The 11,294-nt window shown below is 51.1% G+C and overlaps 1 long non-coding RNA gene and 1 pseudogene across 2 annotated transcripts in view, besides 2 other annotated features; one reads left to right on the forward strand and one right to left on the reverse strand.

The window, feature by feature from the left end:
* Nucleotides 1–1,277, forward strand: part of FAM66A (family with sequence similarity 66 member A) — a 48,983-nt gene extending 47,706 nt beyond the window's left edge. The window contains exon 5 of the long non-coding RNA NR_026789.1: nucleotides 1,241–1,277. This is a non-coding gene — a long non-coding RNA (family with sequence similarity 66 member A). The remainder of the gene's footprint in view (nucleotides 1–1,240) is intronic.
* Nucleotides 2,941–3,461: an enhancer, noted in NCBI's record as "H3K4me1 hESC enhancer chr8:12270174-12270694 (GRCh37/hg19 assembly coordinates)". NCBI's record gives its function as "activates a minimal SCP1, AML or CMV promoter by ChIP-STARR-seq in primed H9 embryonic stem cells {active_cell/tissue: H9 hESC(primed)}" and the evidence as "EXISTENCE:reporter gene assay evidence [ECO:0000049][PMID:30033119]".
* Nucleotides 4,797–8,308, reverse strand: FAM90A25P (family with sequence similarity 90 member A25, pseudogene; annotated as a pseudogene). The gene is made up of 4 exons (NR_073395.1): nucleotides 8,244–8,308; nucleotides 7,550–7,749; nucleotides 6,983–7,091; nucleotides 4,797–6,318 (listed from the first exon to the last, which is right to left on the reverse strand). The product of NR_073395.1 is annotated as a family with sequence similarity 90 member A25, pseudogene (transcript).
* Nucleotides 10,455–11,292: an enhancer, noted in NCBI's record as "H3K27ac-H3K4me1 hESC enhancer chr8:12277688-12278525 (GRCh37/hg19 assembly coordinates)". NCBI's record gives its function as "activates a minimal SCP1, AML or CMV promoter by ChIP-STARR-seq in primed H9 embryonic stem cells {active_cell/tissue: H9 hESC(primed)}" and the evidence as "EXISTENCE:reporter gene assay evidence [ECO:0000049][PMID:30033119]".

Here is an 11,294-nt window from a genome sequence, read left to right on the forward strand (position 1 = left end):
CTCTCCTGAATCCAAGTTGAGGGTAAAGTCCATTCATCAGCATTTCTCCTCAACTCACAACAACCTCATTCCACTCCAGTATGATGTTTGTCCCCACAAATTGATGCACATAATTCTTGCTGGCAGTGGTAATGTCCTAATAAAAAAATATCACGAGATGGCGTCAGACTTTACTTTATTTTCTAGCTCAGCAGAATTTGATTCCTGTCTGATAAGGAAACCCTATTTTCCCTAGAAACTTTTCACTTTTGTCACAGGTTTGGTTCCCAGGGAACTGGATATAGATAAAGTTTAGTGTGCAGGATGTTTATTAGGAAGTGATGTGAGGATCCACATCTGTGGAAAGGATTGGAGGGAAGCCTTATGTGCAAAGGGACAAGTCTAATGGCAGTGCAGCCTGACATTGTCACCTGGCCACACGGACAGAGCTGTAGAGCTAAGAAGTCCTCCCCTATTTGTCCCAACTGAATCAAATGGCAAAGCCTATGTACCCCTTGCCTCCATTAATGATTGTGTGCTTGCCACTTGTGGAGGATGAGACTTTGAAGCAGGTGGCTTTCTGTGGCTGAAGAAAACCTTAAATGTGCTGACAAAGCTTTCCAAAGAGACAGAGAATGGCATCTGCCAGGTATGTTGCCCCTTTCCAAAGAGGAAGCAACAAGGGTAATGGCCTCCAATGGCTCTGTATGCAGATAGGTGGACAGTAATGTCTGTCCCTCCTGTGACCTAAGAAGAACAGTTGGCAGACTTGCAGCCAGGCAGTTAGAGGTGACACAGTGTTAGGAGATAAACATCTGTCAGAAGCAGTGCTTCTTTGAATCAGGTGTGACACGAGCCTTGCATCCCTTGCATGGACCCCTTCCCCATTATCTTGCTGTCCTACCTCATGAAGGTGGGTGGGTGCTGGCTGGTGGGTGGTCCCTGTACCAGGTACACTTTGCCTGCAGTCTTTCCACATGAGTTCCAAGGTACCCCATGTGGTCATCCATGAACGTTGTGTTTTCCTTATGCTGCATGTCCTTTGCCTTTGAGGAACACGTTTCATTTGACTCTGAGTCCAAACAACTCAAGTGTCCCTATATCTGTACATTGTCCTTCACTTAAGGGAATCTCCAATCCCTAATGACTTTCTTTTATTTTTGCTATTAATATTATAACAATTAACATTGTCATTATTATCTTCATTGTTGATATTCAGTTATTTTTATTAATAGAGTTACTGTGAATTATTATATTGTAGCTACTTACACCAAGATGAAGATAATTTATTAGTTCAGGAAGAATCTGCATTCTGAAGACAAATAGAAGTTCCAGCTACAGATGGGCAGACACATGCCCTCTCAATTCCTGATGGACCTCCTAGTGCCTTCTGGACCTAAGGGGCCTCCCTCAATGTTCCAAGATGCCACCAAGGCAGGGATCAGCTCGTGCATTCCTGAGAACATCCCGGATGAAGTGAGGCTCTGGAAAAATGCAAGAGTTTCCACATAATCCCAAAAAACACTACAGGTGAACTGGATGCCACAGAAAGATGAGTGGTCTTTGTCACAACGAAATCAACAAAATTATTTCGAAGTCAATTAGGAAACTCAGAAATCACTCTTGCTACCATTAAGAGGAAGAACAGGAGCCTGTGAATGGCATCCCTGGCCTACCTGAGACTCCAAAGATATTTCTCTGTGGCTTCTGACAGCAGAAATCTCTGTGATTTTCAGAAAGGCAGGGACAGCTCCTGCCAGCCCATCCTTCTGCAGAATGTGTCCCAGCAGATCAGTGGCATGGAACCATCATGGACAGCACAAAGGCTCAAGGGCAGCATCCCAGGCCGGCCTGTGACTCTAGATAAGTTCTGAGTCCCCATGGGGGCTCAGGAAAGGTTAGTGATGACCTGGAAAGAAGGGACAGGCTGAAACCGCCCCTAAGCAATCTGCAGGATTCCAACTTCAGCAGGAAGCCAAGGACCAGCTATTACCACACCTGCGCCCCCTGAAAACGCTGGATACAATCCCACTCTGCAGAAAGTTCCACATAGAAGTGGCTGGGAATTTTGCCTTCTAGACTGCATTTTACACTGCCTCTGGACATGTGATGAGAAATTTAACATTGGTGTATCTAACTCTGACATTTTTCACGAAGTGATTTTTTAAAATATGGTAAAAAAGACAAAATATAATTCAAACATATGCATTATATGTCAAAGTATGCTTCGCTGGCATCAAGTAGACTCACCTTGAGATACAATCTTGGACAACCTCCATCTTCAGAATATCTAGTTTTTCAAACCAAAACTCTCCAACCAAAAATCAATAACATCAAAAGTTTGCAACTACAAGCCGACGGAAAATAAATACATGAATTCTACCACAGTGAATTGGACTGCACTGGGAAACACAGATGAAGAAAGCCAACACCGCTTTGTCCTTCAGTACCTGGCTCCCTTTTCAGCTCGTCTTGCGACTCCAGGCATTATGCCTGAAAAGTCTCCTGGACGCCTGTGAGGCTCTAATTCCCTGGGTCCCATTGTCATGTCTCTGGATTTGCGAAGATTAACCGGACCTTCTGTGGAACTCCCGTGTCCCTCAACTTTTGTGACATGTCCCCTAATTCTGCCCATGGTCATCTGCACCTGCACGACTTAGGGTCCATGTTCCTTGGACGGGAAGAGACAGGCAGGAGTCGGAATGATGAACCAGCACACTGGGGCATTTTCTCATGTAGCCCAAGTGACCCCATGGTCTTCTTGAGCTTTGGAACCAGTCGCGTCCCCTTTGACACTGCACCCGACTCCCAGTCTCTCAATCTTGTTGGCCCTCCGGCGATCTCCCGTTGGATGAATTGCATCTGCTGAAACTCGAGTCCCCTTTGATTTGTGCTTCATTAATTATTCATGATTCAGGTTGGAAGGCCTGCTGACGACCCCCTGTGGCCGTTTTCCGAGCTTTCCGGTCACATCGTTTCCTTCCACCCTCTTTGGTTCCTTGTGGTCCTGCTCCTTCTGCTGTCAGAGGAGCAGAGAGTTGATCTTATTGATTCTGGATACGGATACTTTGTAGGTGATCTGGATAATCAAGATAACGACCCTCAAAAGCGGCGGAAAGGGAGCAGCCATTTGGTGTGTCTCAGCAAATCCCGCTGAGTTCCGAGGCCGCCTAGGTATGCAATCCTGCTGAGAGTTGTTCCCAGGTCAGAGAATGGAGAGAGCCTGTGCATGATGGGATATCCCTGCCTAGATCTTTCAGTGAGTCTCTACCTCAGCTACTCTTAGGATCAGGGGGAGAACCATGGAAAGGCCCGGTGTCAGACATCCGGAAAGAAGAGGGATGAATGTTTCACCTCTGAAGTACATCCCAAATGTGGGAGTTAACTTCAGCTTTGCTGGGGTCTACTTGGCCAGCGAAACTCTGCCTGGTTCATTCGCACATCCGGAAGCCACTTCACGGGGAGCCGTCGCAACCGGAACCACACACTTGGCATCGGCGGTTGAGCCAAATGGGGACTCGTGGTGCAAGCAACGCTCCCCACGTGTTAGCGTGCGTGAGATTCAATTGGCGGAATTTTACTAGGTGCGTGTTGGTAGAGCGGGGCTGAGGTTTTCTTGCTCCTGTGGATGTATAGGAAGTCAAAGGTCCTGCCCAGCCCTGCGGTCCCCTCAGTCAACTCTGTTTCGGAGACATAACGATTTGGATTGCTAACAAGTCAAGAAATGTTCAAGTCCTTGGATGTAGGGAAAAGAAAGAGAGATCAGACTGTCACTGTGTCTATGTCGAAAGGGAAGACATAAGAGACTCTATTTTGAAAAGGACCTGTACTTTAAACAATTGCTTTGCTGAGATGTTGTTCATTTGTAGCTTTGCCCCAGCCACTTTGCCCCAGCCGCTTTGACCCAACTTGGAGCACACAAAAACCTATGTTGTATAAAATCAAGGTTTAAGGGATCTAGGGCTGTGCAGGACGTGCCTTGTTAACCAAATGTTTACAAGCAGTATACTTTGTAAAAGTCATTGCCATTCTCTAGTCTCAATAAACCAGGGACACAATGCACCGTGGAAAGCCGCAGGGACCTCTGCCCTTGAAAGCAGGGTATTGTCCAAAGTTTCTCCCCATGCGATAGTCTGAAATATGGCCTCGTGGGATGAGAAAGACCTGACTGTCCCCCAGCCTGACACCCGTAAAGCGTCTGTGCTGAGGTGTATTAGTCAAAGAGGAAAGCCTCTTGCAGTTGACATGGAGGAAGGCCACTGTCTCCTGCTTGCCCCTGGGAACTGAATGTCTCGGTGTAAAACCCGATCGTACATTTGTTCAACTCTGAGCTAGGAGAAAAGCTGCCCTGTGGCGGGAGGCGAGACATGTTGGCAGTAATGCTGCCTTGTTATTCTTTACTCCGCTGAGATGTTTGGGTGGAGAGAGACATAAATCTGGCCTACGTGCACGTCCAGGCATAGTACCTTCCCTTGAACTTAATTATGATATAGATTCTTTTGCTCACATGTTTTTTGTTGACCTCCTTATTATCACCCTGCTCTCCTAGTATATTCCTTTTTGCTGAAATAATGAAAATCATAATCAATAAAAACTGAGGGAACTCAGAGGCCGGTGCAGGTCCTTGGTGTGCTGAGTGCCGGTCCCCTGGACCCACTGTTGTTCCCCTATACTTTGTCTCTGTGTCTTATTTCTCTTCTCCGTCTCTCATCCCACCCGACTAGAAACACCCACAGGTGTGGAGGGGCCGGCCACCCCTTCACTTGGAAAATCAGTTACACACAAACACGGAATGAGAGTCAAAAGACAATACATCATCTTTTTGAGAATTTTATTCACTTCAAAACAAATTCAACACACCTGTTTACAAAGGCATTCCAGAGCCCAGTTTTCGAGGCTGAGGAAAGACCCCGAGAGCGCTTCGCACAGCACGCTTCCCAGCGTCCGAAACACTGCTCTCAGGGCGGGGCACAGCGGAAGGGCTGCACCTCTCAGGGTTCCCTAACTTTTCCCTTATTCAGTCATCTAGAGAGCAAATACACAGTAATTCCCCAGTTTCCTATTGACGTCCCAGCGGAAGTCTGACTCCTGCGCGTCACGCAGTTTCTGAGGCAACGAATCTCTGGCACGGAAGCTTTTCCTGGCGCGTTTCCGGAGAACCACGCGAACTACAACGTCCCTCACCAGAATTCAATGAGGCAGAGTCCCTGCATCTGCTCCCTGCCTGGCCTGGGCTCCCACATCCACAGAAGCGCCACAGCCGGGGAGCTTCGGAGTCACCGCACAGAGTCTGCTCTCTGCTCTGCGCTCCTCAGTCCCACAGTCCCCTCCAAGTCACGGGAGCTGGAGGCCAAGGAGCCCCTGCCACCTGCAGTCTCACTGCAGGTCAGAATCGCTGTCCTCTGAGGAGGAGGAAACCTGAAGGTCTTCATAGAGGACGTTCGGTGGGACACGAACACAGGGAGCCTCAGACTTCTCTGACACATGAGGGCTCTGAGCGAGGAAGACTCCCAGCTTCTCAGGAGAGTGAAATGAGGGGGCCGCCAGGAGGCTGGAGCTCCAGCGTCTGTTTTCTAGTCTCCGGAAGAGCACTCTGAGAGGCTGGGCCCCATCATGGCTGGCCGCTGGGTGATGGGACATGGTGCAGGCCTGGGCAGTGGGCAGGCAAGGTCTGCTGTGCGGAGGCTGCCGGTCGACGCCGGGCACCTGGGCGGGTGTCCTCCTGCCCATCTGGGGCGACGTACTTGGTCCAAGTTCGGTTGCTGCTGGCGGAGGTTGGAGATTCTCCAGGGCCCCCAGCTCACCTCCCTGGATGGCGCTTTCGGGGATCTGGAAGGGACCCAGTCTCGGTTTCTTGGGGAAGTTCAGGCAACCCTGAATCGGAGCCTGGGCAGGTCTCTTGGCTCCTGGTCTGAAGCTGAGATTGGAGCCTAGGCCCAAGCTGTGTGTGGCGGCTGGTGGGCCGGGCTGTCAGGTCACCGCAGGACGTTTGTCTTGTGCCTGGGGTCTGACGGCCTGGAGCAGGCCGTGGGTTTTGGAGGCAGCCTGGGGAACTTCTCGGCAGCCACCCTCACGGCTGCTGTGTGTCGGCTTCACCACGAGGAGAGGCTCGGGGCCCTGGTGCCTGACTGCAGGCTGAGGGATGTCGGCCGCAGCACCTGTCTGTCTTTCCTTTGGTCCAAGACTTGAGGAGGATCTCAGACTGGCTTTTCTGAGGGGAGACAGTGAAGCCAAGACGGAGCCTCTGCCAGACATTTCGGTAGCTGAGCGATCAGCGAGTTCAGGGTCCACGCACGGCCTCTTACTTGTTGTGTGGACCGGCATTGGCCGGCTTGCAACCTGAAAGAGAGGAAACAACACAGGTTAGAAGTTCCTCAGCATGGAGCCAACGTGAAAATCAAGCACATCCAAAGACAAGGTGCACACGCCATGAAATTCTTAGTACAGTATCGACAGGCGGTCCTTGGAAGTAGAGACAGACCCTCCACCTGAGTGCTGATCAGGACAAGACACATGAACGATGCGCTCTCGAGCTATGTGTAGCTGATCTAAGCACACCATTGTTCAAAAGATCGCGTCTTGGGCATTAACTGGATCAAAGCGCCTCCACTCAGCCTTCCATGAAGTGGAACAGACTAATGCCCTTCCGAAGGCAGGTTGGTGGCTCAAGGGTACTCAGGACGTCTTCTCTGAACACATGCATGTTCCAGAGTTTAGCCTTCTCCATGTTTGGGGCCTCTGAGGGACAAATTTCCTCATGCCGCTAGGAACATGTTGTTGGCAGGCTTGCCATAATTGGACAGAAAGAAAGCAACAGGAAATACGGCATCTTCAGATGCCTTCGCCTGGAATCAAATTGACCTGGAAGGATCGTGAAGTCCCTGACCCCAAGAAGGCAAGAAAGAGGGGTTCCCCGATTCCCTCCCGCAGACGGGAAGCTGAAAGGAAATCAACCAGGGTGACCTAGAGGACAAAAAGACCAGGGGCCCAGGGTGACACTCACCCTCAGAAAAACAGAAGATTCCGTGGATCCTTTTCGATTTGGCAGCAGCTTCTCTGGAGGTTTCCCGGAAAATATGTGGAGGAGAGCCTTTCTCTGCGGGTCTTGTTGCCTGCAGAACAGAAAAAGGTCAGGCCATGGCCCCTCGTTTTCCCCAGGAGACAGGGAGAACCCTGTCTGGGGCTCAGTCCCATTCCGTGTTTTGTGATACAGAAATGGACATCTGGTGCCCTTTCCGCCTCTGCACCTTCCCTCACGTGCCAACCTTCCCATCCTCCAGGTGGCCCTCTAGGCTTCCTAACTAAGGACTGTGATTTGGATTCCATCGCTTTTCCCCCTGTCGTGGGGAATCTGCACGAAGCACCCCCGCCTCTCCCCGTCCCTGAATCTCCCAGAGCCAAAGGAACTCCTGGGTGTGGAACCCCGGAGGACACGGAGCTCCGGCCTATTTCTCTGCAGCGTTCCTTCCCTGGCCCGGAGACGGAAAGGCACACGGTGTGCAGGTGCAGAGACACCATGTCCTTAGGAGGCAGTACCCTAAGAGTGGTGAAAACCCCTCCCACTGCTCACCTTGGTCTCTCTTCCTTCTCTCCCTTATCCTTGTTCAAGGGCCCCGGGTTGGCTTCAACCTGGGGCTTCCATGGTTTCAGGTTTTCCTTCCCTTCCTTTTTCCCCAAGGTCGGTGGAACCAGGGCTGCCTTCCAGCACTTCATGGGGCACCTGGTACTTCTGACCGTGTGGCCAAGGGCCCTGCAGTTTTTGTACTTGAGCTGTGGGTGGAAAGGAAGTGATGTCAGTGAGTGAGCTGAAGCCACAGGCAGCGATCCCACGTCAACATTGGGACGGATTGTGAATTCAGAGCTGAATAAGGATTCCAAAGAGGGGACACCAGCATGGGGGCCATTAAGTGCTGGGAGAGTTCGGATGCGATGTTCCCTCCCAAAGCCCATGTGACAGAGGAACTCTAAAAGGCAGGACTCAAGGTTCTAAGGGGCACGATGGTGAACCCGATGTCAACAGCACAGCCAAACGTGGCTACACAGGACTCTAAACAGAAAGGGAGGTTGCCCCCAAGAGTCTCTCAAGGGGCCTATCGGGCCGCGGAGGAGGTCCCAAGCCACGCCCACCTTGGATGGGAAAAGCAACCTGGGTGGTGGTGACAGAACTCTTTGGAATCCAACCCAGTCTCTGAGGACCGTGTGACAGCCCCTCCCCCCGTCCCCACCCCCACCCCGATACCCAAGAGATCCAGGGCTAGACTTACCCTGGGATTTTCTTCATCGGGCGGGGGAGCCCTTGGCCCAACTGGGGCCCTCCGCTGCTTCTGGAGGGTCTGGGCTCTCACCAGTCTCTTTGCCCCAGGTTTGGGGTCACGACGTGCCGTCATCTTCGTCTCCTGGGGGTTTTGTGACCGCCTTTTTCAGGGGTTGACTGTTGGGCCACCTGAAACACACACAAACACACACATGTGGATGGTTAAGCACGTTGGATATTCACACACCCACAGGAAGCCCCCCGCTAACTCCTTGCCGGTGTGGTCATGAGGAGACCTCACCACCAGTCGGTCAAATCTGTGGAACACAATGTGCTGTGCGCATCCTCAGATATTGTGTGTTCCTCTGCCATGATTACCTAGTCCAAGAGTAAACTTCGCCTGCCACAGGGCCTGTGGCCTAGGTATGGGGAGTTGAGCTTTCAACTCCAAACTAACAACTGATTCTGGAGACTGGACTTAGGTCTATTACGATTCACTCCGGTAGAAGACACGATGATTCTATCTCCCTTGACGGACAGAATGATCGAAGCCACAGGGCATGGCATTTGTCACCCTTTGGCAGGTCTGTTTGAAATCTGGGATAAGGGATGCTTCCTGTCACAACTTGAATCGCTACTCTTGCCATTTCATTAGGCGACTTCCAAACACAAATTCATAGAGAGAAGTTATCTTCCTCTCTACCACACTAGCAGGTGATGGTCTTTCCTGTTCTATCTTTTTGGCTTTAGCTCCAGCCCCTCTTTATTTATTTTTCTGGTATTTTACACGTGCCACACGAATTCATCTAAACAAACGGTGAATAAGTGCCATATCGTATCGACGTCTTACACCGCTGAAGGGCAAACCACCCTTTTTTCCAAAGTCCTTTTTCCATTTACCCACCAATTCAGCATGCTGCAGTACATTTCTTTTCACATTCCCATCTTGGTCTTCTCCCACACGTGGAGACGGAAATGCTTTCTCGTTTTCTGTTCCAAGAATTACTAGTAACGAGAACACATCCTACCCCATCAGCAAGGCCCAGTGTGATCGGTTTCTCTCGGCGTCCTTTGTCTCTTCCCACCCACCCCTCAGGGACTGCGTGAAAAAAACAACTGTACAGTGAAACTAACCTGAAATTACACGTCTACTTTCTTTCCCCGGCTGGCGCTGAGATGGGCAGGTGCTGCAGCAGCCCGGCTGGAAGCGATGCAGCATCCAGGACGACGGAGGAAGGGGCAGAGAGGGACCTCTGCTTTCCAGGCTGCCTTTTATACTGCCTCTGGTCACCTGACGTGGAACGTACCCTAACCTAATCAGTTACATGTAAGTTAATTGCAATTAACTTAATCCAATTACATGACCCGGAAAGGTCTATCTGCACAGCCCACTCTAAGATCATGTCCACTGCTGACAGACATTCTAAAACCTACGTGTACAGCTGCAAGCTTTGAAGAATAGATGTTCCCCGTCAGACATGTAACACTGGTGCCTGTACCCCTGTCTTTTTTTCCATCTTTTTTGTTTTTGTGTTTTGTTTTGTTTTAAAAAATGTGGTAAAATAGACACCTTTTAATTGGACCATATTTACTCTACCTCGACGTAGGCCTCAGTGTCTTCAAGGAGATTCTCCTTGACATGCAGTCATGGCCATGATCCATCTTCAGAGTTTCTCTTTCTTCCCCACGGTAGGTCTGTCAGCAGAGAACCCTGACCACACCCTCATGTGTTTTCTCCTCCAGGAGGCGCTTGGAAACCACCGTCAATTGGACCGCACTGGGAAACACAGATGAACAAAGTCAACACCGCTTTGTCCTGCAGTGCCTGGCTCCTTTTTCAGCTCGTCTTGCGACTCCAGGTATTGGAGTCCAGGGAGGGGTACGTCGCCTTTACCCTGTGCTTGCCACGATCTTGTCTCCTTAATCCTCACTGCAGTTCTCTGCCATAGAGTCTTATACTGCTTTACATGTGGGAAACTGAGGCTCAGAGAGTTTCACAGCAGGGCAGGGAGCCCAGATGTGAATCTGTAGATACCAAACTTTCTAATTTTTCAGTAGTTTCCAAGCATCTTTTATTTTTCTTGTTTCTTCGTTGGTGTCTTTTTTTTTTTTTTTTTTTTTTTGAGACAAAATCTCTGTGCCCAGGCTGAGGTGCAGTGGTGTGATCTCAGCTCACTGCAACCTCGACGTCTCACATTCAACAATTCTCATGCCTCAACCTCCCGAGTGGCTGGGACTACAGGTGCCCACCACACCCAACTTATTTTTGTATTTTTAGTAGAAACACGGTTTTGCCATGTTGGCCAGGCTGGTCTTGAACTCCTGACCTCAGGTGATCCACCCGCCTTGGCCTCCCAATATGCTGGAATTATTGATATGAGCCATTGGGCCCGGTCATGTCATTGGTGCCTTAACCAAGCCTCTTTTAATTTTTCAAACGGAAGAGCCCCTGTCCCTCAGTTACGGCTGCTGAGCCCTTTCAAGGTGAGTCAGTGAGGAGGGAGAAAAGCGGAAGTGGTGTGGGAAGAGGCGGGGTCTGGGCCAGCTGCTGGTCCTGCTCTCCTCCCTCCTTTGGCCTCTAGGCTCCCAGGAGTGGTTTCGAACCTGCGCCATGTGCTCTGGAGGCTGTGGCAAGGCAGGCGCGGCTTGGAACCCGCACCATGTGCTCTGGGGGCTGTGGCAAGGCAGGGGCAGCTTGGAACCTGCGCCATGTGCTCTGGGGGCTGTGCCAGGGCAGGGGGAGTCCTCGTGTCCCCTGCGCACAACACAGACAGAAGGCTGGGTCCACCCAGTGGGCGGTCGGGTGCCAGGCCAGTGCTTACCCCGCCATGTTTGCAGCCCGAGGCCAGCTGGCTGCAGGTGCAGGACTAGGCGTCAGGGGTCAGGGTGCACACATCCCTGCAGGTCTCGGGGCTCCTGGGTTGCTTCTGGAAGGGCACAGATGGGACCTGACTGGAGCTGCAGAGGGGTGGAGCTTCTGGGGAAAGGATCCCTCCTAGGGGGAGTGTCTTGGGCCTGGGGCCACGTGGCAGGGACAGAGACGGGTCCATGGCAGTGTCTG

This window comes from Homo sapiens, chromosome 8 (assembly GCF_000001405.40).
Source record: "Homo sapiens chromosome 8, GRCh38.p14 Primary Assembly".
Lineage (NCBI taxonomy): Eukaryota > Metazoa > Chordata > Mammalia > Primates > Hominidae > Homo > Homo sapiens.